At 44.8% G+C, this 25,710-nt stretch overlaps 1 long non-coding RNA gene across 4 annotated transcripts in view; it reads left to right on the forward strand.

Moving 5' to 3' along the window:
- Positions 1-20,348: 20,348 nt before the first annotated feature.
- Positions 20,349-25,710, forward strand: part of LOC101928217 (uncharacterized) — a 43,451-nt gene continuing 38,089 nt past the window's right edge. Inside the window, exons 1-2 of one of the 4 annotated variants that reach the window (XR_001741554.2) lie at positions 21,062-21,828; positions 24,958-25,129. This is a non-coding gene — a long non-coding RNA (uncharacterized LOC101928217). The other 3 variants (XR_001741557.2, XR_001741555.2, XR_002959776.2) reach the window with 3 other exon arrangements.

The following is a 25,710-nucleotide window of genomic DNA, read 5'->3' on the forward strand; positions in this document are numbered from 1 at the left end:
GCACGATCTCAGCTCACTGCAAGCTCCGCCTCCTGGGTTCATGCCATTCTCCTGCTTCAGCCTCATGAGTAGCTGGGACTACAGGCACCTGCCCCCAACCCAGCTAATTTTTTGTATTTTTAATAGAGACGGGGTTTCACCGTGTTAGCCAGGATGGTCTCCATTTCCTGACCTCGTGATCCGCCTGCCTCAGCCTCCCAAAGTGCTGGGATTACAGGCGTGAACCGCTGCGCCTGGCCAAATATAAGTACTGTTAAATTAACCCTCCTTTTCTCTGCATCTTCTTCTAAATCACCATTTTTGCCTAAGCAACAGCTAGGGTCTAATATGGATGTGACGACTCACTTCAAAGTGGAGGAAGCCCCCATGTGCACCTGAAGCTCCTGCTGCCTTGGCCCTGGGCTCAGAGACTGGACCATCATTCTGGAGGCTTGCTGGAGATCTGAGACAGGGCAGCATTCTCTGTTGCCTTTAAACAAAGGCTGGTGCTCTCCCAGGCAAGTGAGCTCCACCGAGGATCTATTTGGAAGGCAGAATTCTGAGATGACCCCTTAGATTCCTGCCCTGGATAAATGCCAGGTGTAATCTCCTCTCCCCTGGAGTGAAGGCAGGACCCCTGGCTTGCTTCTAATCTATACCTATGGAAAAGTTGAAGGGATTTTCAGATGTAACTAAGCCCCTACTCCGTTCGCTTTGAGTTAATCAGAAGGGAGTTTATTCAGGGTGGGCCTGATATCTTCAGGTGAGATCTTCAATGAGGTTCTGGAGGAGAGAGACTCTTTCCTCCTGGTTTTTGGTTTTTGTTTGTTTGTTTGTTTGTTTTTGAGATGGAGTCTCACTCTGTTGCCCAGGCTGGAGTGCAGTGGCATGTTCTCGGCTTACTGCAACGTCTGCCTCCTGGGTTCAAGTGATTCTCCTGCCTCAGCCTCCCAAGTAGCTGGGATTACAGGCGTGCGCCATCATGCCCGGCTAAGTATTGTATTTTTAGTAGAGACGGGGTTTCACCATATTGCCAGGCTCGTCTCGAACTCCTGACCTCAGGTGATCCACCTGCCTCGGCCTCCGAAAGTGCTGGGACTACAGTCGTGAGCCACCATGCCCGGCTGGTTTTGAAGAAGCCAGCCACATGAGATCCACAGTTGCATGGAAATAAATTCTGCCAACAACCATGTGAGGTTGGGAGAAGACCGCAAGCCTCATATGAGACACTAATTCCAGCCGACAACTTGATCACAACCTTGTAAGGACCTGAGCAGAGCACCCAGCTAAAGCTGCACCCCCAGACTCCTGACCCACAGGAAAGGAGAGGTAATAGATGGGTGTTTTAAGCTGCTAAATTTGTGTTGATTTGTTATACAGCTTAGAAAATAAATACATCATTCCATGTTTAAAAAATCATAAGCTAATTACACCATTCGAATTTTTTTTTTTTTTTTTTTTTGAGACAGAGTCTCACTCTATCGCCCAGGCTGGAGTGCAATGATGCAATCTCGGCTCACTGCAACTTCTGCCTTCGGCGTTCAAGTGATTCCCTTGCCTCAGTCCCCCAAGTAGCTGGGACTACAGGCATGCACCACCACACCCAGCTAATTTTTGTATTTTTAGTAGAGATGGAGTTTCACCATGTTGGCCAGGCTGGTCTTGATCTCCTGACCTCAAGTGACCTGCCTGCCTCAGCCTCCCAAAGTGCTGGGGTTCGCGGCATGAGCCACCGCACCCGGCCCGACACATCATTCAATTTTAAGAAACTTCCAGGTGCTGTGGTCAAGCCCTTCTTGTGTGGCATGGAGGTGGGGAGAGATGGGTTGGAAGATGACTGGATGGGGGCATGGAGCTAGGTGGGAAGAGGAAAAGTGTCTTGAAGGAAGTAAGTCCCTTCAGATAAGGGAGGGAGAAGCTTGATTAATATGCAGACTTGCACAGTCCTTCAGTCCTGGGGATACTAGAGGAGAGACAGGTCTTGCCTTGTATTTGAGAGTTGCCATCCCAGGCAGAGGCCCTACTTCCACCTTCTTGCAGGTGGGGCTGGTGGGCACATACTTAGAGGAGAAACGAACTTCCTTTGTAAGCATGTGAAAAGTTTCTGGAGTGGAGAGATGATGAAGCAGGATATTTGGAGTCAAAAGCCAATGTTTTTATTTCATTTTTTATTTTTTACTACACTTTAAGTGTTAGGGTACATGTGCACAACGTGCAGGTTTGTTACATATGTATACGTGTGCCATGTTGGTGTGCTGCACCCATTAACTCATCATTTAACATTAGGTATATCTCCTAATGCTATCCCACCCCCACCCCATAAAAGGCCCCTGTGTGTGATGTTCCCCTTCCTGTGTCCATGGGTTCTCATTGTTTAATTCCTAGCTATGAGTGAGAACATGTGGTGTTTGGTTTTTGCGATAGTTTGCTGAGAATGATGGTTTCCAGCTTCATCCATGTCCTTACAAAGGACATGAACTCATCATCTCTTATGGCTGCATAGTATTCCATGGTGTGTATGTGCCAAATTTTGTTGATCCAGTCTATCATTGATGGACATTTGGGTTGGTTCCAAGTCTTTGCTACTGTGAATAGTGCCACAATAAACATACGTGTGCATGTGTCTTTATAGCAGCATGATTTGTAATCTTTGGGTATATACCCAGTAATGGGATGGCTAGGTCAAATGGTATTTCCAGTTCTAGATCCCTGAGGAATCGCCACACTGACTTCCACAATGGTTGAACTAGTTTACAGTCCCACCAACAGTGTAAAAGTGTTCCTATTTCTCCACATCCTCTCCAGCACCTGTTGTTTCCTGACTTTTTAATGATCGCCATTCTAACTGGTGTGAGATGGTATCTCATTGTGGTTTTGATTTGCATTTCTCTGATGGCCAGTGATGATGAGTATTTTTTCATATGTCTTTTGGCTGCATAAATGTCTTCTTTTGAGAAGTGTCTGTTCATATCTTTTGCCCACTTGTTGATGGGGTTGTTTTTTTCTTGTAAATGTGTCAGAGTTCATTGTAGATTCTGGATATTAGCCCTTTGTCAGATGAGTAGATTGCAAAAATTTTCTCCCATTCTGTAGGTTGCCTGTTCACTCTGATGGTAGTTTCTTTTGCTGTGCAGAAGCTCTTTAGTTTAATTAGATCCCATTTGTCGATTTTGGCTTTTGTTGCCATTGCTTTTGGTGTTTTAGACATGAAGTCCTTGCCCATGCCTATGTCCTGAATGGTATTGCCTAGGTTTTTTTCTAGGGTTTTTATGGTTTTAGGTCTAACATTTAAGTCTTTAATCCATCTTGAATTAATTTTAGTATAAAGTGTAAGGAAGGGATCCAGTTTCAGCTTTCTCCATATGGCTAGCCAGTTTTCCCAGCACCATTTATTAAATAGGGAATCCTTTCCCCATTTCTTGTTTTTGTCAGGTTTGTCAAAGATCAGATAGTTATAGATGTGTGGCATTATTTCTGAGGGCTCTGTTCTGTTCCATTGGTCTATATCTCTGTTTTTGTACCAGTACCATGCTGTTTTGGTTACTGTAGCCTTGTAGTATAGTTTGAAGTCAGGTAGCGTGATCCGTCCAGCTTTGTTCTTTTGGCTTAGTATTGACTTGGCAATGTGGGCTCTTTTTTGGTTCCATATGAACTTTAAAGTAGTTTCTTCCAATTCTGTGAAGAAAGTCATTGGTAGCTTGATGGGGATGGCATTGAATCTATAAATTACCTTGGACAGTATGGCCATTTTCACGATATTGATTCTTCCTACCCATGAGCATGGAACGTTCTTCCATTTGTTTGTATCCTCTTTTATTTTGTTGAGCAGTGGTTTGTAGTTCTTCTTGAAGAGGTCCTTCACATCCCTTGTAAGTTGGATTCCTAGGTATTTTATTCTCTTTGAAGAAATTGTGAAAGGGAGTTCACTCATGATTTGGATCTCTGTTTGTCTGTTGTTGGTGTATAAGAATGCTTCTGATTTTTGCACATTGACTTTGTATCCTGAGACTTTGCTCATGTTGCCTACCAGCTTAAGGAGATTTTGGGCTGAGACAATGGGGTTTTCTAGATATACATCATGTCATCTGCAAACAGGGACAATTTGACTTCCTCTTTTCCTAATTGAATACCCTTTATTTCCTTCTCCTGCCTGATTGCCCTGGCCAGAACTTCCAACATTATGTTGAATAGGAGTGGTGAGAGAGGGCATCCCTGTCTTGTGCCAGTTTTCAAAGGGAATGCTTTCCAGTTTTTGCCCATTCAGTATGATATTGGCTGTGGATTGTCATAGATAGCTCTTATTATTTTGAGATGCGTCCCATCAATACCTAATTTATTGAGAGTTTTTAGCATGAAGGTTGTTGAATTTTGTCGTAGGCCTTTTCTGCATCTAATGAGATCATCATATGGTTTTTGTCATTGGTTCTGTTTATATGCTGGATTTTGTTTATTGATTTGTGTATGTTGAACCAGCCTTGCATCCTAGGGATGAAGCCCACTTGATTATGGTCGATAAGCTTATTGATGTGGTGCTGGATTCGGTTTGCCAGTATTTTATTGAGGATTTTTGCATCGATATTCATCCGGGATATTGGTCTAAAATTCTCTTTTTATTTTGTCTCTGCCAGGCTTTGGTATCAGGATGATGCCGGCCTCATAAAATGAGTTAGGGAGGATTCCCTCTTTTTCTATTGTTTGGAATAGTTTCAGAAGGAATGGTACTAGCTCCTCCTTGTACCTCTGGTAGAATTCGGCTGTGAATCCATCTGGTCCTGGACTTTTTTTGGTTGGTAAGCTAGTAATTATTGCCTCAATTTCAGAGCCTGTTATTGGTCTATTCAGAGATTTAACTTCTTCCTGGTTTAGTCTTGAGAGGGTGTATGTGTCAAGGAATTTATCCATTTCTTCTAGATTTTCTAGTTTATTTGCATAGGGGTGTTTATAGTATTCTCTGATGGTAGTTTGTATTTCTGTGGGATTGGTGGTGATATCCCCTATATCATTTTTTATTGCGTCTATATGATTCTTCTCTCTTTTCTTCTTTATAGTCTTGCTAGTGGTCTATCAATTTTGTTGATCTTTCAAAAAAACACCTCCTGGATTCATTGATTTTTTGAAGGGTTTTTTGTGTCTCTATTTCCTTCAGTTCTGCTCTGATCTTAGTTATTTCTTACCTTCTGCTAGCTTTTGAATGTGTTTGCTCTTGCATCTGTAGTTCTTTTAATTGTGATATTAGGGTGTCAATTTTAGATCTTTCCTGCTTTCTCTTGTGGGCATTTAGTGCTATAAATTTCCCTCTACACACTGCTTTGAATGTGTCCCAGAGATTCTGGTATGTTGTGTCTTTGTTCTCGTTGGTTTCAAAGAACATCTTTATTTCTGCCTTCATTTTGTTATGTACCCAGTAGTCATTCAGGAGCAGGTTGTTCAGTTTCCATGTAGTTGAGTGGTTTTGAGTGAGTTTCTTAATCCTGAGTTCTAGTTTGATTGCACTGTGGTCTGACATAGAGTGCAATTTGTTATAATTGCACAGAGACGGTTTGTTATAATTTCTGTCCTTTTACATTTGCTGAGGAGTGCTTCACTTCCAAATATGTGGTCAATTTTGGAATAAGTGTGTTGTGGTGCTGAAAAGAATGTATATTCTGTTGATTTGGGGTGGAGAGTTCTGTAGATGTCTATTAGGTCCGCTTGGTGAAGAGCTGAGTTCAATTCCTGGATATCCTTGTTAACTTTCTGTCTTTTTTGTCTGTCTAATGTCGACAGTGGGGTGTTAAGATCTCCCATTATTATCGTGTGGGAGTCTAAGTCTCTTTGTAGGTCTCTAAGGACTTGCTTTATGAATCTGGGTGCTCCTGTATTGGATGCATATATATTTAGGATAGTTAGCTCTTCTTAGGATAGGATAGTTATATCTTCTAGGACAGTTGAATTGATCCCTTTATCATTATGTAATGGCCTTTTTTGTCTCTTTTGATCTTTGTTGGTTTAAATTCTGTTTTATCAGAGACTAGGATTGCAACACTTGCCTTTTTTTTTGTTTTCCATTGCTTGGTAGATCTTCCTCCGTCCCTTTATTTTGAGCCTATGTGTGTCTCTGCACATGAGATGGGTTTCCTGAATACAGCACGATGATGGGTCTTGACTCTTTATCCAATTTGCCAGTCTGTGTCTTTTAATCAGATAATTTAGCCCATTGACATTTAAGGTTAATATTGTTATGTGTGAATTTGATCCTGTCATTATGATGTTAGCTGGTTATTTCGCTCGTTAGTTGATGCAGTTTCTTCCTAGCCTCAAGGGTCTTTACAATTTGGCATGTTTTTGCAGTGGCTGGTACCAGTTTTTCCTTTCCATTCTTAGTGCTTCCTTCAGGAGCTCTTGTAGGGCAGGCCTGGTGGTGACAAAATCTCTCACCATTTGCTTGTCTGCACGGATTTTATTTCTCCACTTATGAAACTTATTTTGGCTGGATATGAGATTCTGGGTTGAAAATTCTTCTCTTTAAGAATGTTGAATATTGGCCCCCACTCTCTTCTGGCTTGTTTGTAGAATTTCTCCTGAGAGATCTGTTGTTAGTCTGATGGTCTTCCCTTTGTGGGTAACCCGACCTTTCTCTCTGGCTGCCCTTAACATTTTTTCCTTCATTTTAACTTTGGTGAATCTGACAATTATGTGTCTTGGAGTTGCTCTTCTCGAGGAGTATCTTTGTGGCATTCTCTGTATTTCCTGAATTTGAATGTTGTCCTGCCTTGCTAGATTGGGGAAGTTCTCCTGCATAATATCCTGCAGAGTGTTTTCCAACTTGGTTCCATTCTCCCCGTCACTTTCAGGTACACCAATCAGATGTAGATTTGGTCTTTTCACATAGTCCCATATTTCTTGGAGGCTTTGTTCATTTCTTTTTATTCTTTTTTCTCTAAATTTCTCTTCTCACTTCATTTCATTCATTTCATCTTCCATCACTGATACCCTTCCTTCCAGTTGATCAAATCAGCTACTGAGGCTTGTGCATCCATCACGTAGTTCTTGTGCCTTGGTTTTCAGCTCCATCAGGTCCTTTAAGGACTTCTCTACATTGTTTATTCTAGTTAGCCATTCATCCACTCTAGTTAGCCATTCATCTAATCTTTTTTCAAGGTTTTTAACTTCTTTGCCATGGGTTTGAACTTCCTCCTTTAGCTCGGACTAGTTTGATCGTCTGAAGTCTTCTTCTCTCAACTTGTCAAAGTCATTCTCCGTCCAGCTTTGTTCCATTGCTGGTGAGGAGCTGCGTTCCTTTGGAGGAGGAGAGGCACTCTGATTTTTAGAGTTTCCAGTTTTTCTGCTCTGTTTTTTCCCCATCTTTGTGGTTTTATCTACCTTTGGTCTTTGATGATGGTGATGTACAGATGGGGTTTTGGTGTGGATGTCCTTTCCGTTTGTTAGTTTTCCTTCTAACAGTCAGGACCCTCAGCTGCAGGTCTGTTGGAGTTTGCTGGAGGTCCACTCCAGACCCTGTTTGCCTGGGTATCAGCAGCAGAGGCTGCAGAACAGTGGATATTGGTGAGCAGCAAATGTTGCTGCCTGATTGTTCCTCTGGAAGTTTTGTCTCAGAGGAGTACCCAGCCATGTGAGGTGTCAGTCTGCCCCTACTTGGGGGTGCCTCCCAGTTAGGCTACTCGGGGGTCAGGGACCCACTTGAGGAGGCAGTCTGTCCATTCTCAGATCTCCAGCTGCGTGCTGGGAGAACCACTCCTCTCTTCAAAGCTGTCAGACAGGGACATTTAAGTCTGCAGAGGATTCTGATGCCTTTTGTTTGGCAATGCCCTGCCCCCAGAGATGGAGTCTACAGAGGCAGGCAGGCCTCCTTAAGCTGCAGTGGGCTCCACCCAGTTCGAGCTTCCCAGCCACTTTGTTTACCAACTGAAGCCTAGGCAATGGCGGGCACCCCTCCCCCAGCATTGCTGCCACCTTGCTGTTTGATCTCAGACTGCTGTGCTAGCAATGAGCGAGGCTCCATGGACGTAGGACCCTCCGAGCCAGGTGCGGGATATAATCTGGTGTGCCATTTGCTAAGACTGTTGGAAAAGCACAGTATTAGGGTGGGAGTGACCCGATTTTCCAGGTGCCATCTGTCACCCTTTTCTTTGACTAGGAAAGGGAATTCTCTGATGCCTTGTGCTTCCTGGGTGAGGCAATGCCTCACCCTGCTTGGGCTCACACTCAGTGTGCTGCACCCACTGTCCTGCACCCACTTTCTGACACTCCCCACTGAGATGAACCCAGTACCTCATTTGGAAATGCAGAAATCACCTGTCTTCTGCGTCACTCATGCTGGGAGCTGTAGACTGGAGCTCTTCCTATTTGGCCATCTTGGCTCCACCCCCACTATTATGATTCCTACACAGAGTCCTTTGCTTTCCAGCAGCCTCCTCTCCCTCCTTTTTAGGTCGGAATCCCTCTATTTTAGTGGCCACTGGGATTCTGAAATGACCAGGTCTTTGTCTCAGAGACCTCACACATGCTGTTCCCTCTGCCTGGAACACTTTTCCTTGCTCTGGTCCCCTGAGATCTCTTTCAGCTCAACTGCCTCATGCTGTGAGAGCCCCTTTCTCCCTCTCTAGGTTGAAGCCAGTTTACCCCTGTAGTCTGTGCCTGGAAAACTCATTTTCCTCCTTGGTACCTCCCGAGCTGTCATAGGATGTATGTGCCTGTTAGGGTGTCTGGTGTCTGTCTCCCCGACTGGACTGCATGCTCCTGGTGAGCTGGAGGGACTGGACTAGCACAGGCCAAGTCCCTGGGGCTGGAGGGAGCAGGGCAGAAGGCACAGGCAAAAGGCCTTTGTGATCTGGGGGGAAGTGAAGGAGAGGGAGAGAGATGAGAGAGGCTGGCAGAAGATGGGCTAGAGGCCAGGCTGTGTGGGATCTTTTGGGCCACAGAAAGACATTTGAATTCTCATGTAAGAGAACCAGGACACCATTGGAGTGTATGAGTCACCTCATCTAACTGAGCTCTGTAAATGTCAATGTTTTATTATTTTTATACAGTTCTTTAAAAGTGATTTTAATTATTTACCTTTTTATTTTTATTACTTTTATTAGTTTTTCTGAGACAAAATCTTGTGCTGCTGCCCAAACTGGAGTGCAATGACATGATCTCAGCTCACTTCAACTTCCACCTCCTGGGTTCAAGTGATTCTCCCGTATCAGACTCCCGAGTAGCTGGAGTTATAGGCGTCTGCCACCACGCCCAGCTTATTTTTGTATTTTTAGGAGATATGACGTTTCACCATGTCGGCCAGGCTGGTCTTGAACTCCTGACCTCAGGTGATCCACCCACCTCAGCCTTCCAAAATGCTGGCATTACAGGGGTGAGCCACCATGCCTGACCTTATTTACTTTTTTAAAAAAGATCAGGCCAGGCACGGTAGCTCACTTCTCTAATCTCAGCAATTTGGGAGGCTGAGGCGGGATGATCGCTTGAGGCCAGGAGTTCACAATCAGCCTAGGCAACATAGTGAGACACCCCTGCCCCAATCTCTAAAAAAGTGAGAAAATTAGGCACGGTGGTTGGTCTGTATCCCCAGCTACTGGGGAGCCTGAGGTAGGCAGGACTGCTTGAGACCAGGTGTTTGAGGCTCCACTGAGCTGTGACTATGCCATTGAGCTACAGCCTGGGCAACAGAGTGAGACCCCGGAGCCGCCTCAGCCTCCCTAGAGCTGACCGAGCTCTGCTTCTTATTCCGGGAATGACGGGCACTGGGGCTTTGATGGGCATTGGGTGAAATGGGCAGAGTGGCGCTTACCCGGGATGGCGGTGAAGTGGGACGGGGAGGTCATCGTGACAAGGGGCGGCATGAGGTACTGGGCCTTGACACCCTCCCTGGCCAGACGGTCCAGGTTGGGGGTGTGCATATTCCTGATCCTAGTCCCAGCGGAAGCCCTGGAAGGAGATCAGCAGCAGCTGTGTGTGCTCTTCCTCCCTGGGACGGGGTGGCCGCCCAGTAGGACAGGCGGCAGCAGCAGCAGCAGCAGCTGGAGGGCCCCGAGCCCTGTCATCCCACGAGCACCTGTTATGCACTCCTCACAGAGTTCATGGGCTTCTCCGTCTTTAGTCCGTTGTTGAACAAAGTCCACGTTAATAATTCGGCCCAACTCTGTTGTGGGACAAACAACCCGGAGTGTAGCAAGGTGCCGCATATTTGCAGGACAGGATGAAAGCGTTCTGGAGATGGATGGGGGACATGGCTGTACAATGTGGTGGATGCACTTAACGCCACTGAATTTTTCCTTTGAAAATGGCTAAAATAATAGATTTTGTATGTATTTTACCACAATAAAAAATCAAACTGGCCGGACATGGTGGCTTACACCTGTAATCCCAGCACTTTGGGAGGCCGAGGCGGGTAGATCATTTGAGGTCAGGAGTTCGAGACCAGCCTGGCCAACATGGAGAAACCCCATGTCTACTAAAAATGCAAAAATTAGCAGGGCGTGGTGGTATATGTCTGTAATCCCAGCTACTTGGGAGGCTGAGGCAGGAGAATTGCTTGAACCCGGGAGGCGGAGGTTGTGGTGATCTGAGATTGTGCCACTGCACTCCAACCTGGACGATGGAATGAGACTCTGTCTCCAAAAAAAAAAATAATAATATAAATAAATAAATAAATAAATAAATAAATAAATAAATCAAACCATGTGAAATATTTTCGACTCTTATACTAATTCCAACATTTTGAAGATCTGGGGAGAACAAACTAGATTGGTGCTTTCCTTGGCTTAGTATGTCCTGTTTTTATAGGGAGAGCAAATTATTGTTCACCAGCACTATTAAAATAGCTACAACAGGATGGGCATAGGGGCTCACACCTGTAATCCCAGCACTTTGGGAAGCTGGGGTGAGAGGATCGCTTGAGCCCAGGAGTTCAAGATGCCAGCCTGGGCAACATGGTGAGACCCTGCCATTACCAAAAATACAACAACAACAACAAAAATAGCTGGGTGTGGTTGTGTGCACCTGTAGTCCCAGCTACTTGAGAGGCTGAGGTGGGAGGATCACTTGTGCCCAGGAGGTTGAGGCTGCAGTAAGCTGTGATTATGCCACTGTACTCAGCCTGGGTGACAGAGTGAGACCCTGTCTCAAAAAAAAAAAAAAAATGCTGTAGTGGGCTCAGTGATCATGAGGCCAGGCACTGTACACATATACATCATCTCATTTTTTCTCTTGTTTAAAATTATTTTTCCCTCTAATCCCCATGTGAATCAACATTTTCTTCATCCTAGGAATTTATTAGTTGAAAATTTCACATAAGAATTAAAAATTGCCTGGCGTGATGGCTTACACCTGTTATACCAGCACTTTGGGAGGCTGAGATGAGAGAATCGCTTCAAGACAGGAGTTTGGGCCAGTCTGGGCAATATAGTGAGAATGTGACTCTATAAAAAAATTAAAAACCCTGGGTGTGGTAGCGTTCACCTGTAGTCCCAGCTACTTGGAAGACTAGGTGGGAGGATTGCTTGAGCCCAGGACGTAAAGGCAGCAGTGAGCTATGATTGTGCCATTGTACTGCAGCCTGGGTGATGGAGTGAGACTCTATCTATAAAATAAAAGAATAAAATTGTGGTATAATATATGCAACATTTACCATTTTGTGCATCTGAAAGTGTACAATTCAGTGACATATTGTACATTTATCATGTTGTGCAATTATCACCACTACCTAGCTTCAGAGCTTTTTCAACACTTCAATTGGAAGCCTCATATCCATTCAGCCGTCACTCTGCATACCCCCTCCTGCAGCCCCTGGAAACCTCTCATCTACTTTCTATCTCTGTTGATTGGCTTAGTCTGAACATTGCATATAAATGGAATTGTACAATATATGACCTTTCATGTCTGCTTCTTTCACTCAGCATGTTTTTAACGTTCATCCATATCACAGCATGGATAAGTTTTATTTTCTTTTTAGACCCTATCTAAACAGAAAAAAACATTGTAAAACAAAAACAAAAAAATATATACGATGGAGATCAGATGAGTCCTGCAAAGCTGATAGTATTTACTATCTAGCACTTTACATAGAAGCTTGCCTACCTCTGAATGATATGCAGGTACAGGGATGACATTTATCTTGGCACTTATAGAAAGACCTGGAAGTTGTATAAAGACGTCATCATTGGATTTCCAGTAACAAGAAGCGGCAAGACATGACGGTGTGTCCCGGTGTTCAGGTGAAGTTTAGGGAAGGTCTTGTCTTGACGAGGTCGGATGTGACACCCAGATGAGATAACCCTATTTCCCCTGCTGAAATTGCCTGAGAATTTCGTTCCAGTTATTTGCGTAGGTTGATTCTTTCGGTGGGGGTGGGCTGGGTGAGGAGGTGAAGTGTCAGGGGAGTTCTACTGTGTATTTGCACAACTTGGCTTTCTTTTCACTTGGTGTGGTGTTTTGCTGTATGAGGAATTTCATAGAATTTTGTGATGAGTATGCAGCGTAGTGGTTTGAATCCTGCCAGGCCGGGGGTCATATCTCAGCTCTGCAACTCATTATCCGTGACGCCTTGGGGCAGGTCCCATAACTCTCCAAGCCTCTGTTATATACTCCATGGGGTTGTGAGGTTCAGATGAAATAATGCATGCTGGCAGGAATGGTTACTGCTCATGGGATTTCCATGTGCTCCCCGTATTCCCCAGACCCCCAGTAGTTAGATGGATCCATGCCAGGGTCCACTGCTCTATAAGTGGAAGTCACTGACATCACCTCTAGTCTACAGCTTTTGAGGGCTTGGGAATAACTATCTCATCCTCTCATCTCCTGGTGCAGTAACTATGGGAGAATCCCTGCATTAAGATGGTAGAATTTCCATTATCCTAGGTCTTTGAGTGGCCATATGGAGCACACCATAACCAGCCAACCCATTGTGGACATGGAATGTAAGAAATCAACCTTGGTTGCTAAGCTGCTGAGACTCTGGGGTTAATTTGTTACTGCAGCATAACCTAGTCCATCCTGATACATGCAGCATGCAAACCACTTACGTTGACCCTTAGCCATGGTAAGTGCCCCACAGATGTTGGTTACTTTTGGTAGGAAGATAGATTGCCTCTGAAAGTTTTGTTAGCTGATCTCATGATGCCAATGTTGCTATTTTTGGTATTTGGATAAATTGGACTTGGCTCTCCGTCCAGCATGTGGGAGAGACAGATGACTGAGAGACAAGAAAGCGCTATTATCTTCAGTTTGTGTCCTTGGATACCCTTGGTGGCAATGAACAATGTATGCTCCTCTGAGAAAACTGGACCTAAAGGAGAATGGGAGGTGATACCAGAATTGGGAATGTCCAAGGACCCAGGCATTCCCTGGTCTGGAGACCACTTTGAGTCCTTGGTTGGGAAGATTCTCCAAGGGAACATAAATGCTTTTACTATCTAGCTTGTCTCTTTGAGAATTAAAACTCTTTTTTTTTTTTTATTCCAGTAGCTTTTGGGGTAGAGTTTGGCTCTTTGAGAATTGCATACTAATTAATTTTAGGGGTCATCCGTACACATCTCTATATTCCTGAAACACAGTAGAAACAGCCAGCAGTCAGGCAACCATCTACCATGACCACTAAAACATCCCCAAAGTGAAACACCAGATGTGATCTGCTAGGTTTAGTGGAGGTGGCTGGCTCGAGAGTTGATTATATTCGTTATCGTCACTGTGGTGATTATGACCACAACATTTTGATGCGTCTTCGTCTTCTTCTGGTGAGTTGCAGTTTGGAAGGAATAAATCCATTATTCTTTTTTCTTTCTTTCTTTTTTTTTTTTTTTTTGAGTCTTGCTCTGTCGCCCAGGCTGGAGTGCAGTGGTAACATGTCAGCGTACTGTAAACTCTGCCTCCCAGGTTGAAGTGCTTCTCCTGCCTCAGCATCCCAAGTAGCTGGGATTACAGGCGCCGACCACCACACCTGGCTAATTTTTATATTTTTAGTAGAGACGGGGTTTCGCCATGTTGGCCATGCTGGTCTTGAACTCCTGACCTCAGGTGATCCACCTGCCTCAGCCTCCCAAATTGCTGGGAGTACAGGTGTGAGCCACCACTCCCGGCCCCATTATTCATTTAACCAGTATCTATTGAGCACGTTGGGTACGGTGGAGGATGAACTGCGGGGGAGAGAGGAAGCCTCCTCCTGCCACTATGTTTTCAAGTTGTGCTAATACTCCACCGTGGGACACTCAGGCTTGTGGGTCCCAGAGCTCCAGAAGCATCTCCCAACCACACCATCCTGACCCAGGTTCTACTGAAAAATACATGAGTCTAGCAGAGCCATCTCTGACACTTCCCTTCTTTTGAATGGCTGATCTGTCAGTCATGGGGAACCCTTATTAAAGTGCAGTGTGCTTTGTGAAACTTGAGGTTGATCAAAGAATACCATTAAACTTTGTTAAGAAATCTACATATTGATGACATATGCAGTGGGGTGGAGGTGGGGAAATTCCCAAATACATTTTAGAAAATTATGTCAGAAGGAGGTAATAGTCAGACTTGTGGTTGCCAGTGACAGAAACTCATGTTACTAGTGTGGAGTGGAAAAGGGATCATGTTTTGGTCTGCACTCCCCAACCCCAACCGCAAGCAGATCCTGAAAGAGGGACAGGATTGCAAGTGGATTATTTAGGAGATGATTCCAGGGAACACCAATAGGGGAGTGAGGAACTGATTCATGAAAAGGCAGGAGGCCACACTGTGGGCTTCAGTAAGCAGCTTACCACTCCAGGCAACTAGAATTTGACCCTACTGGGGACCTCTGGGAGGTGATGTGGAATACATTTCAAAGTTGTTCCATCCAGGGGGCGAAGATATTGAAGTATTTATAGCCTGGCTCCCATCTGTCACTGGCTGAGGACTGGTCCCAGGGCATCAACTCTGGCTTCTCTTTTTTCTTTTTTTTTTTTTGAGACATAGTCTTGCTCTGTCACTCAGGCTGGACTGCAATGGTGTGATCTCGGCTCACTGCAACATCTGCCTCCAGGTTCAAACGATTCTCTTGCCTCAGCTTCCTGAGTAGCTGGGATTACAGGCTCCTGCCACCATGTCCCGCTAATTTTGTTATTTTTTGTAGAGACGGCGTTTTGCCATGTTGGTCAGGCTGGTCTTGAACTCCTGACCTCGTGATCCACCTGCCTTGGCCTCCCAGTGTTGGGATTACGGGCGTGAGTCACTGCACCCGGCTTCTTTGGCTTTTCTGACATATTGCATGCCTGACTTTGAAAAAACTCTCAGGTGAAAGTCTTGGTTGTATGCAGTAGCAAGTATGGACTAGATTGATAAATACCAAGGGGCTTACCACAAGATCTCTCCATCTCTGGATGGAGACACCATCAGATCTCTCTCCATCTCTGTCTCTAGCTTTGTCTGCATACTGGCTTAATTTCTTCTTGCTCAAGCCTTTTCTCCATAAGGCGAGATACGTGGCCACAAAAACTCCTCTATTTCTCACTACACACAGTTCCTGTCATCACAGAGAATGATTAACTTGGTCTGGTTCCAGTTTGGAAAAATATTCAAGGGAGGAATTCTGATTGGCCAATTTAGGCCAGATGTTCATCCCTGGACCAATCAACTGAGGCCAGAGGGGTGGAGTCACGTGAGAACATGGCAGCCCCCATGAGAGCCACGTGACTGGAGTAGGAAGTGTGAGTCTCCATAGAGGGGAGGGCTGCTAGGCTGACAAGGCAATAGATGTCTGCAGTGAAAGGAATAGATTAGGAGATATATTCTGTTAAACCTGTTAATTATTAAAAAAAGAAACTTTCAATATACAGTTAGAGTATACATGAGCCAGTGGCTCACGCCTATAATCCCAGCACTTTGGGAGGCTGAGGTGGGCAGATCAGAGGTCAGGAATTCGAGACCAACCTGACCAACATGGTGAAACCCCGTCTTGCGCACCTATAATCCCAGCTACTCAGGAGGCTGAGGCAGGAGAATCGCTTGAACCAGGGAGGTGGAGGTTGCAGTGAGCTGAGATCACGCTACAGCATTCCAGCCTGGGCAACAGAGTGAGACTCCCTCTCAAAAAAAAAAAAAAAAAAAAAAATTGTGGTTCCTTCAGCATGATTTATCAGAAAGGAAAAACTTACCATATGTATATTTCCTATGCACAGGCTACTGCTGTGAATTCAAATTCTTAAATTCCAAAGATTATGTTTCTCAAGACACATAATCTGTGTTAGAATCTGCTTATAATGAGGCTGAAGTTGAGTAAGAAGAGAACTGGCATTTAGGACACTACTTTTCTTCTGTCAAGTACTGTCAAGTTTACTTTCTGCCTGGAAGTAGATGCACCTCAAGGGAGGGTTACATGTAAAGGTGTGTGTGTGTGTGTGTGTGTGTGTGTGTGTGTGTGGTAGTTTCCAAAGATGGGTACAACTTTCTGCAAACGCTCGTGCAGTGTAATTGAACCAATCTTTCCTTTAAGAGGTAGAGTTTATATTCCTCTACATGAATCTGGGCTGCCTATGACTTGCTTTGGCCAGTGGAATGCAGCCAAAGTGATGGTGACCAACTTCTAGCCGTGAAAGGAAAATAAACCTTGGGGCCCCAAGATCACTAAGCTAGGCCGGGCTCGGTGGCTCACGCCTGTAATCCCAGCACTTTGGGAAGCTGAGGCAGGCGGATCACCTGAGGTCAGGAGTTCCCAGCACTTTGGGAAGCTGAGGCGGGCAGATCACCTGAGGTCAGGAGTTCAAGACCAGCCTGGCCAACACGATGAAACCCCGTCTCTATTAAAAAATATGAAAATTAGCCAGGTATGGTGGCAGGCGCCTGTAATCCCAGCTACTCGGGAGGCTGAGGCAGGGAAAATTGCTTGAACCCTGGAGTTGGAGGTTGCAGTGAACCGAGATCGCACCACTGCACTCCAGCCTGGGCAACAGAGTGAGACTCTGTCCCAACAACAACAACAAAAAAAGTTATTAAGCTAAAGAGAAAAGTCAAGCTGGGAACTGCTTAGGGCAAACCTGCCTTCCATTCTATTCAAAGTCACCCCTTTGCTCACTGAGATAAATGTATATCTGATTGCCTCATTTGGAGAGGCTAATCAGGAACTCAAAAGAATGCAACCATTTGTCTCTTAACTACCTATGAACTGGAAGCCCCCTCCCCACTTCGAGTTGTCTCACCTTCACCTGGAGTTGACCCGCCTTTCCAGACTGGACCAATGTACATTTTGCACATATTGATTGATGTCTCATGTCTCTCTAAAATGTATGAAGGCAAGCTGTGTCCCTACCACCTTAGGCACATGTTGTCAGGACCTCCTGAGGCTGTATCACAGGCGTGCATCCTCAACCTTGGCAAAATAAACTTTCTCAATTAACTGAGACCTCAGATTTTTGGGGTGCCTGTAGTCTTAGGCCTTGAGAGTCCTCTTGTAGTTTCCATATTTTTGCCCTCTTGGATGCTGGCACCAAGCAAGCCTTGGCTATCCTGCTTAAAGGGCCATTTGGGGAGGGGCTCTGGAGGGCGAGGGGCCAGATGGAGGAAAACAAGTTTCCCCGGCTGACAGCCAGCACCAACTGCCAGGCACATGTGTGAGGCTGTCCTGGATGTTCCACCCAGCTGGCCCTCCAGCTGCAGGTAGCCACACAAATGAGCCCAAGTTAAACCAGACAGGAAGTCCCCATGCAACTCACATGGTCATGAGCAATAATGACTTGTGGTGGTTTAAAGTTTCTAATTTTAGGTGCAATAGGTAACTGAAATAGCCCACAAGGGTGTGAGCCTGTGGAGGGTGCATTTCCCACTTGTTGAAGCTTCTCAATTTCCAGGATCCAATCCGGATAAGACTCTTTTTCTCAGTGTCCTTGATGGAAATGGCAATGAACTTTTTGCAGATTGGACCATCTCAGGGGAATCCCAAAGATCGGAAACTATTTTCTTTCTTAGAATCTTCCACACAGCATTGAGCCTTAGGAATTTCTAAGAAGGATCTGAAATGAAAAACATCTTTTGAAAAGGTATTTGTATAGCTTCACTTCAGCAAGATTCATGGTGGGTGTTAGACTTAGTGCTGGTGTTAAGCCAAACCATGTTTTTCAAAGACTCATCTGGCCTCAAGGTTGGCAGGATCAGAGTGGCCTCCCAGGATCTATCACATCCTCAGAAGAGTTGGTTCAACTGGCATGTACCCAGATCTCTTTGAACTAGTATGATACTCCCTCGAGTCAAAGGCTGCTATATCACATCTCCTTTAAGTCCCCCTAAGTACGACCCCAGAAGCATTGACAAAGTGTGCTATTACTAAAGATTTCAGGAGGACATAAATGAAGAGATTAAACTGAAAGGTACCAAAACTTCCATCTTTGCTAAAGACCCTCATCCAGGCTGGGTGCGGTGGCTCATGTCTGTAATCCCAGCACTTTGGGAGACCAAGGCGGACGGATCACCTGAGGTCGGGAGTTCAAGACCAGCCTGATCAACATGGAGAAACCCCATCTCTATTAAAAATACAAAATTAGCCAGGTGTGGTGGCACATGCCTGTAATCCCAGCTACTAGGGAGGCTGAGGCAGGAGAATCGTTTGAACCTGGGAGGTGTAAGTTGCGGTGAGCTGAGATCGTGCCATTGCACTCCAGCCTGGGCAACAAGAGCAAAACTCCATCTCAAAAACAAACACAAAACCCTTATCCAATGGTCATGCCACTCTATCTGGCCATGTAATTTCTCCACCTGGCTTTCTGTAGCAACAGCCTTCTGAGGAACCTCACTCTGCCGGTCAAAACCCCTTCAACTTGTACCCTTCATCAGCAAAGTTCTTAGCTCAACATGTATGCCTCTGGGGGAACTCATCCACATGCCATTTAAGGATATTTCCAGCAACATCATCTTCACTACCCCAGGATGGCATTTTAGAGTGGATGACTTGCCTGCTGGATGTGTTGTTCTTGAGCGAGTTTGAGAAAACGCTACACTTTGAGATGAATTAAGAGTCTGTTTACTTAGCCGGCGGCAAAGAAACGGCTAACGTTTAAAGTTCTCTCGGCTTCGAAGAAGGGGCTAAGATTTTCTTTTATACTTTGGTTTAGAAAGGGGAGGGGGTTCTAGTTAAAACAATTTTACATAAGTAAAGTAGACAAAAAAGTTAAAAGGATAAATTGTTACAGGAAAGTAAACAGTTTTAGGTCTAGGGCCTTTAACACTATTATAAGGTGATAGACGCGGGGCTTTGGGCGTTATCAATCGGATGAATTCCTGGGAACTGCGGATATTGCTCGCCACAGTATCTTATCAGTTAATTGCATTCTTCGATGTGCTGGGAGTCAGCTTGCACAAGTTAAGTCCCTGAGGAAGGGGCTGCCAGTGAAAGAGCCAAGATGGAATCTGTCTGGCTCTCTTAGCTAAGGGAGAGTCAATTCAGGTGGAAACAAGGCTAGGTCATTAAAAGAAAGGGAGAGTCTAAAAACAGGGTGAGTAAAAACATGGTTGGGCATTACATTCCTCACTTGTGTTTTTGGGGAATCAAATCGTTGATTCTTCAGTTATAAAAAGGGGGTTATTTTGAGTCTTCAGATACATAAGTTTGACAGAAGCTATTCGTTGTTTTACAAAATTAAGAAACTAACTTAATATACAATGCCCCAAAATTAGACTTATTAGTAGGATGGGGAGGGGGTCCAGCTAACTTAGTAATTAGAGTGGTTAGCTATGGGTTCTAGTTGAACATGCGTTGATACTAGGGGATGTTACTTTCTTGTTCTTGTTGGCGCTTTTCTAGATTTTCTTGCACTTTTTGGAGTGTATCTTTTATGACTAAGAAAGGTGGAGGAACAGTTAAATCAACTTTGTCAGGGTGTTCCTGGAACATAGGGTTACTTAGATCAGTTAAAGGCCTGATTGACTTGGGTGGGCTTTATGAGACTAGGGTTTTTTTGGATGGTGAACATATACTTAACATTAAATCCTGGGATATAAAATCTTAATGTTCATGACATGCCATGATACTATTGAGTTGAATTAAGGTCATGGACAGTTAGAGGATTACAGTTTTTTCTAGTACATAATTTAGGATGAGAAGCACGAGTTATGGAAAGAGTTGAAGATCTGGTTGATCTTTTAGAGTAGGTGGCTAAAGTTACACATGTCTAATCAGGGCAGAAAAACTGATAAGCATCTTGACAGCTAGCGTCAGGGTGATTTCTAGGACAGAGGTAAAAGTCAACATTTTGGAGTCTTTTTTTCTGCACTTTTGGAGCTTCTGCAATTAGTTTGGCTCTTGGAGTGTCTGAATCTTGCTGCAAGGTCGACACTTCCTGCTCCTGGGACTGGCAGATGGTGTTGTTTTTGTGGGTGTGGGCTGGCTTTGGGAATAGTACAAATAAATCAACTGCAAAGGAGACTTCCTTGGAGGTACGGACCTTCTAAGTGGTGTTTGCAAATACACGTCCTGTTGTGAAAGAGGTGAGGAGAAAGGAGTAGGAAGGCACAGAGGATGTAACTGGCAAAAACAAATAAGTGAGGTAGACAAAAAGAATGAATCTAATGGCTTCACCTGACTTAGGTGCAGTTTTAAGGGGCCTGACTTAGGCCTGGGGACTTATGTTTTGAGCTGGGCTCTGTTGGACTTTTTGATGCGGGAGTGATGAATCTAGCAGGAATGCCGCCTACTTTCAGAGCAGTTGGAGTCGTGAGGATGACGGTGTGAGGTCTTTTCTAAGCAGGAGTGAGTCTTTCTTTTTGGAACTTTTTAACAAATGCTAGGTCTCCTGGCTGGAATGAATGGCAGGACTTTTTCTGGTCAGGAATTGGATTGGGAAGGGCTCCTCAAACAAGTGGCAGGATAATATCTTGTACCTGTTGGAGAGAATATAGGTACTGTAATAAATTAGTTTGTGATATTTCTGCTAATTTCACATCTCTTCACTTAGGCAAGAGAGGCAGCGCCTTCTTATACATGATTTCAAAGGGTGAGAACTTAGCGTGGTAAGGGGTGCACCTTACTTTAAGTAGAGCTAAAGGAAGGAGACTTACTTAATTTACACTGGTTTTTAAGATTTTGTAAGAGTGTTTTTTAGGGTGTGGTTCATGCGTTGTACTTGCCTGGAGCTCTGAGGTTGATAGGCACGATGGAGCTTCTATTGAATGTTTAAGGCCTTACTGACTGACTGAGCTATAGGCGACGTGAAGGCTGTTCTATTATCAGACTTTATGGCAGCAGGCAGCCTATACTGAACGATGATTTCATTGTGTAAAAACTTAACTACTGTGTTGGTGGTTTCGTTTTCGGTAGCAAATGCCTTAGTCTATCTGGAGAAGGTGTCTACTAGTACTAGAAGGCATTTGTACTTAGCCTGGTGTGGTTTGACTTCTGTAAAGTCAATTTCTTACTTTTTTCTTGGCGAGGTTTTTCAGAGACAGTGGCCTGGGCTGGGTTTAGGACTTTGTTTGGCATTTACTTGGGCGCAGGTTGTGAACTGGAGAGCTGCTTAATCTGTTAGGCTTTGAAGACGGGGGATCTTAAAATGGCTCCGCAGGAGCTGAGGTAGCTTTGCTCTTTTTAAGTGGGTGGTAGACTGTAGGTGACGGACTAAATTTTCTTTAAGGGTTCAGGATATGAAGCGTCTAGAGTCAGGAAGAATCTACTAACTTTCCTGATTTTTATTGACTCTGAGATCTGAAGCCAGTTTTTTGTTGTTGTTGTTGAGTGTACGGGATTGTCAGGCAGATCTGGCTGTGGAAAGGAGACTGTGGGCAGCAAGTTTAGAGGCGTGACTGAAAGTCTCGCTGCGACCTGAGCTGCTGAATCAGGTTTCTGGTTACTATGGGCAACGGCCGTGTTTTCTTTTTGATGTCCTTTGCAGTGGATCACAGCTACCTGCTGAGGTGAGTAGCCTGCTTTCCTGGTAGATGGCTTTATGTACATGCACAGTAGCAAAGGCGTACTTGCTGTCAGTGTAAATGTTAATACGTTTATTCTTACTTTATCAGAGAGCCTGAGTGAGGGCGATGAATTGAGCCTTTTGTGCTGAGGTGTTCGCTGGTAAAGCTTGAGCTTACAACACATCTGTCTCCGTGGTAACAGCTGCACTGACTTTTCATACTTCCTGCTTGAGGAAGCTGCTACTGTCTGTGAACAAGGCGGCATCTGCCTTTTCTAGGGGCACAGCTTGAAGATCAGATCGGCCAGTTTCGATAGTTTCTAACAGTTCTTGACAGTCATGAGCAGGAATAGTGCAGTCTGAGTCAGAAAGTAGTGTAGCTGGATTGAAACACTTTGTGGGAGAGAAAGTCAAACGAGGCTGATCTAACAGTAAACTTCGATACTGCAAGATGCGAGCATTTGACATCTATTTGCCAGAAGCATTTTGTAGTAAGGTCTTTAAGGCGTGAGGAGCTGTAAGTGTTAAATTTTGGCTTAGAGTTAACTTATCATCTTCTTGGGCCAGGCTTGCTGTAGCCGCTATGGCTCGCAGACAACTTGGCCATCTAGAGGCCACAGGATCTAGCCTCTTAGATAAATAGGCCACTGGGCGTCTTTAGGGTCTTAGAGTCTGAGTAAGCACGTCTTTAGCAACTCCTTGGCTTTTATGGAGATATTAGGGAGGGCTAAAGCAGGGGCTTCAGTTAATGCTAAATTAACAGGCTATTTCATTCTGTACTTCTTGGATAGCTGCCACTAAGATTTTTGTTTGTCTTTTGAATGCTTTATCAGCGGCCTTTTCAGCTGCCTGTGTTGCTTGTTTTTGTTTTTTAAACTTTTGATTGTCAAAAACTTTTTGGGCTATTTCTAAAAGCTGACTGATATTTATTCTAGCAAATCTTTTTAGTTTTTGGAGTTTCTTTTTAATATCCGGGGCTGCCTGAGCCACAAATGCTAAATGAAGAGCACGGCTATTTTCGGGAGCTGCCGGGTCCAAAGGGGTGTAAATCCGATAAGCCTCCTGGAGGCGCTCTAAAAACGTTCTTGGTGACTTATCGGGCCTTTGGACAACTTCGGTCGTCTTAGACAAGTTTATGGGTTTCTGAGCGGCTCTTTTAATACTTGCGAGGAGATACCGGTGAAAATCGTCTAAAGCTCCCTTTCTACTTGAGGAATTTGGGTTCTGGTTAGGCCGGGTAGAGGGAAAGACCTCCTCAAGGAGGTCTCTAACTTCTTCTTCCGGTCCGTTGGCTGATGTGAGGAAGTACTTTTTGGCTTCTTTTTGGATACGTTCCTTCTTTTCAGAGGTGAAAAGGGTTAAAAGGAGCTGTTGGCAATCATCTTAGGTGGGCGGGTTGAGTCCGGAGTACAGACTGTCAGAGAGGTCAAAGCCTGGGGCTTTTCAGAGAAGGGAGGATTATGGGTTTTCGAATTATATAAGTCAGAAGTAGAAAAAGAACACAAACTAAGAAGGGTGCTGAGCGCTCGTCACCTGGAGGGACTTGTGCCTCTCTCAGTGGTAGTAGAGGGGCTACTTCTTCCTGCCACGGTCATGATTGAGAGGCAATGGGTGGCGAGCCTACAGGGGACGTCGTCGAGCAGACATGGGATAACTTTAAGGGAGAAGGCTGGTTGTAAGGCGGTGGGACTGGGTGAGGGAGACTCTCCTCTTCTTCAGAGGGAGGCAGTACAGGGGGAGCTGAACCGGCTGAGGGTTGAGGCGAAAATGCGGTCTGGCTTAGGAGGACCTTGGAGGTAGAATTATGAATGGCGCATGAACGGAGCCATGGAGGGGGCTCCTGACTAAACTTAGCTATTGATCAATGTAGGGAAACTGATCAGGGTGGCTAGGAGTTTCAGTAACAACCTGCCACACAGCTTGAACAATTGTGAGGTTCAATGGCCCTTCAGGGGGCCACTCGACTCTAAACTTTGGCCATTTTATTTTGCACAGTGTCTGGAGCTTGCCTTTTTTAAGGCGGACTTTATAATCCTCTGAGGAACTGAGAGGAAAATTCTGCAGCATACATTGGAGAGGGCTTTAACTTTACAAGGCTGGGAGGAAGTGTTTCTTTCTTTTTTTTTTTTGAAGGCAATTTAATAAGATTGGAGCATAGATATTAAACTTAGCATGGACAGAGAAACTTATTTCTTGGGGGACTGGAGTAGTGAAAGAACAGTATAAATATGACTAGAAAGAGCAGAAAAACTTACAACAGCTAATACTACTTGCTACATTGCTGTAGCTTTAAGATTGAGGGAGGAGGACTAGAGCCAGCCTGAGATCTTCTGGGTCAGTTTGATCTAGGCGTTCTTCTTCTTCTTCTAGATCTGCACTTTAAATACTTTTGGTGTCTTTATGACTTAAACGCAAATAGCCTAAACTTAGCTTTTTCTTTTAAGGGTTTAAAGAGTGAGAGCAGAGCCAAGTCCTGGAGACGGTAAACTTGCTGTCGCACCGTAAAACGAGATGTGCGGGATAGGGGGCAGGGACAAGGTGGAAAAGGACTACTCTGATCATTTTGAAGATGGGAGAGTAGCCACAGAGGAACAGAGTAAGAATCTTAACGAAGTAAAGCAGTACGGGCGTACGTTTCTTTACACAGTGTTTTACTTAAGGGCACAGGAAAAGTTACAGAATGACAAGAGAGGTGAGCAAGGAAATCTGCAGGGTGGCTGTTTTGAACTCACTACTGGTTTATTTAGAGGAGGTCTAATCACTTGGACGAGGAGTATGGCGATCTAAATACTTACAACTTTCATGGTGCTAGAAATCTTAATCAGGCAAATGTTTTTCACACTTGTTCTTGTAACAACACTTGACTTGCTTCTGGCAGAAAAGACAGGACTGTGGTGGTCAGCCTAAATGATTGATGAGAAATTTAACCTCCTGTGACAAAAAATCAGCACTAAGGACTTTGAAGAAGTTTTTACTTAGACGTCTTGGGCAATATCAACGTCTTGACATGCAAAACTTTGACAACTACTAACAAGACAATAGACACTGAACAGAACAATCAATATAAAACAAACAGTTGACTTTAGGGCATGTAAACAGTTATGACAGTTTCTTCCTTTTTTTTTTTTCTTAGACAGACAAGGAGAGGGTTTCCTGTGATGGGATCAGTCAGATGCCTGCCTGGCCACTCCCCCTGAGGGGACCTGGGCTCCTCTTACCATTGGCAGGCCGGTATAAACTTGCGGCTCAGATCAAGCTATGCCTGATGCTGCCTTAAGCCTTATGAGGTCGCCAAGGAACCGCAGGTGAGGGTCTACTTGAACTCCGTAGCTTTCGCCGTGGAGCTACAAACTGGAGGACAAGCGCAAGCCCTTGTCCTCCCTCATTCATTCATTATTCACACAGAGTATATAACAGTTTTTTTTTCTTTCTTTCTTGGAGATTCTTCAAGAAACTTGAACAAGAGAAAGATGAGAGATATAAAAAGAGAGAGAGAGAGTGACCGGTCTGCCAGAAACCAGGACTCAGTCCTCCAGCATCCTGGGATGTGGACTGAGTCAAGGGAGGGTCCCTGTCAGGGCCTCTTCCCTCCTAGAAAGAGACACAGAGGTGCCTAACAGAAAGCCAGCGCTCTACCTTCTAGCGTCCTAGATAAACAGGCAGAGTCAAAAGAGGGACACCCTCGTCAGGGCCGCTTCCCTCTTACTAGAACTGAAGTCAAATCTGACCTACCTGACCTTGGGGTCAGAAGTCGAGGACTCAGAGGTGGAATTTTTATGGTCACCCACACGGTAGTCGATCCGCTCTCCTCTGGAAGACGGTCACCTTTCGAGGACCTGAAAATTTTTTTTAGGTGGCACCCCCCAACAAGCCGGCCGTCCTTCTG

Source organism: Homo sapiens, chromosome 4 (assembly GCF_000001405.40).
Source record: "Homo sapiens chromosome 4, GRCh38.p14 Primary Assembly".
NCBI lineage: Eukaryota > Metazoa > Chordata > Mammalia > Primates > Hominidae > Homo > Homo sapiens.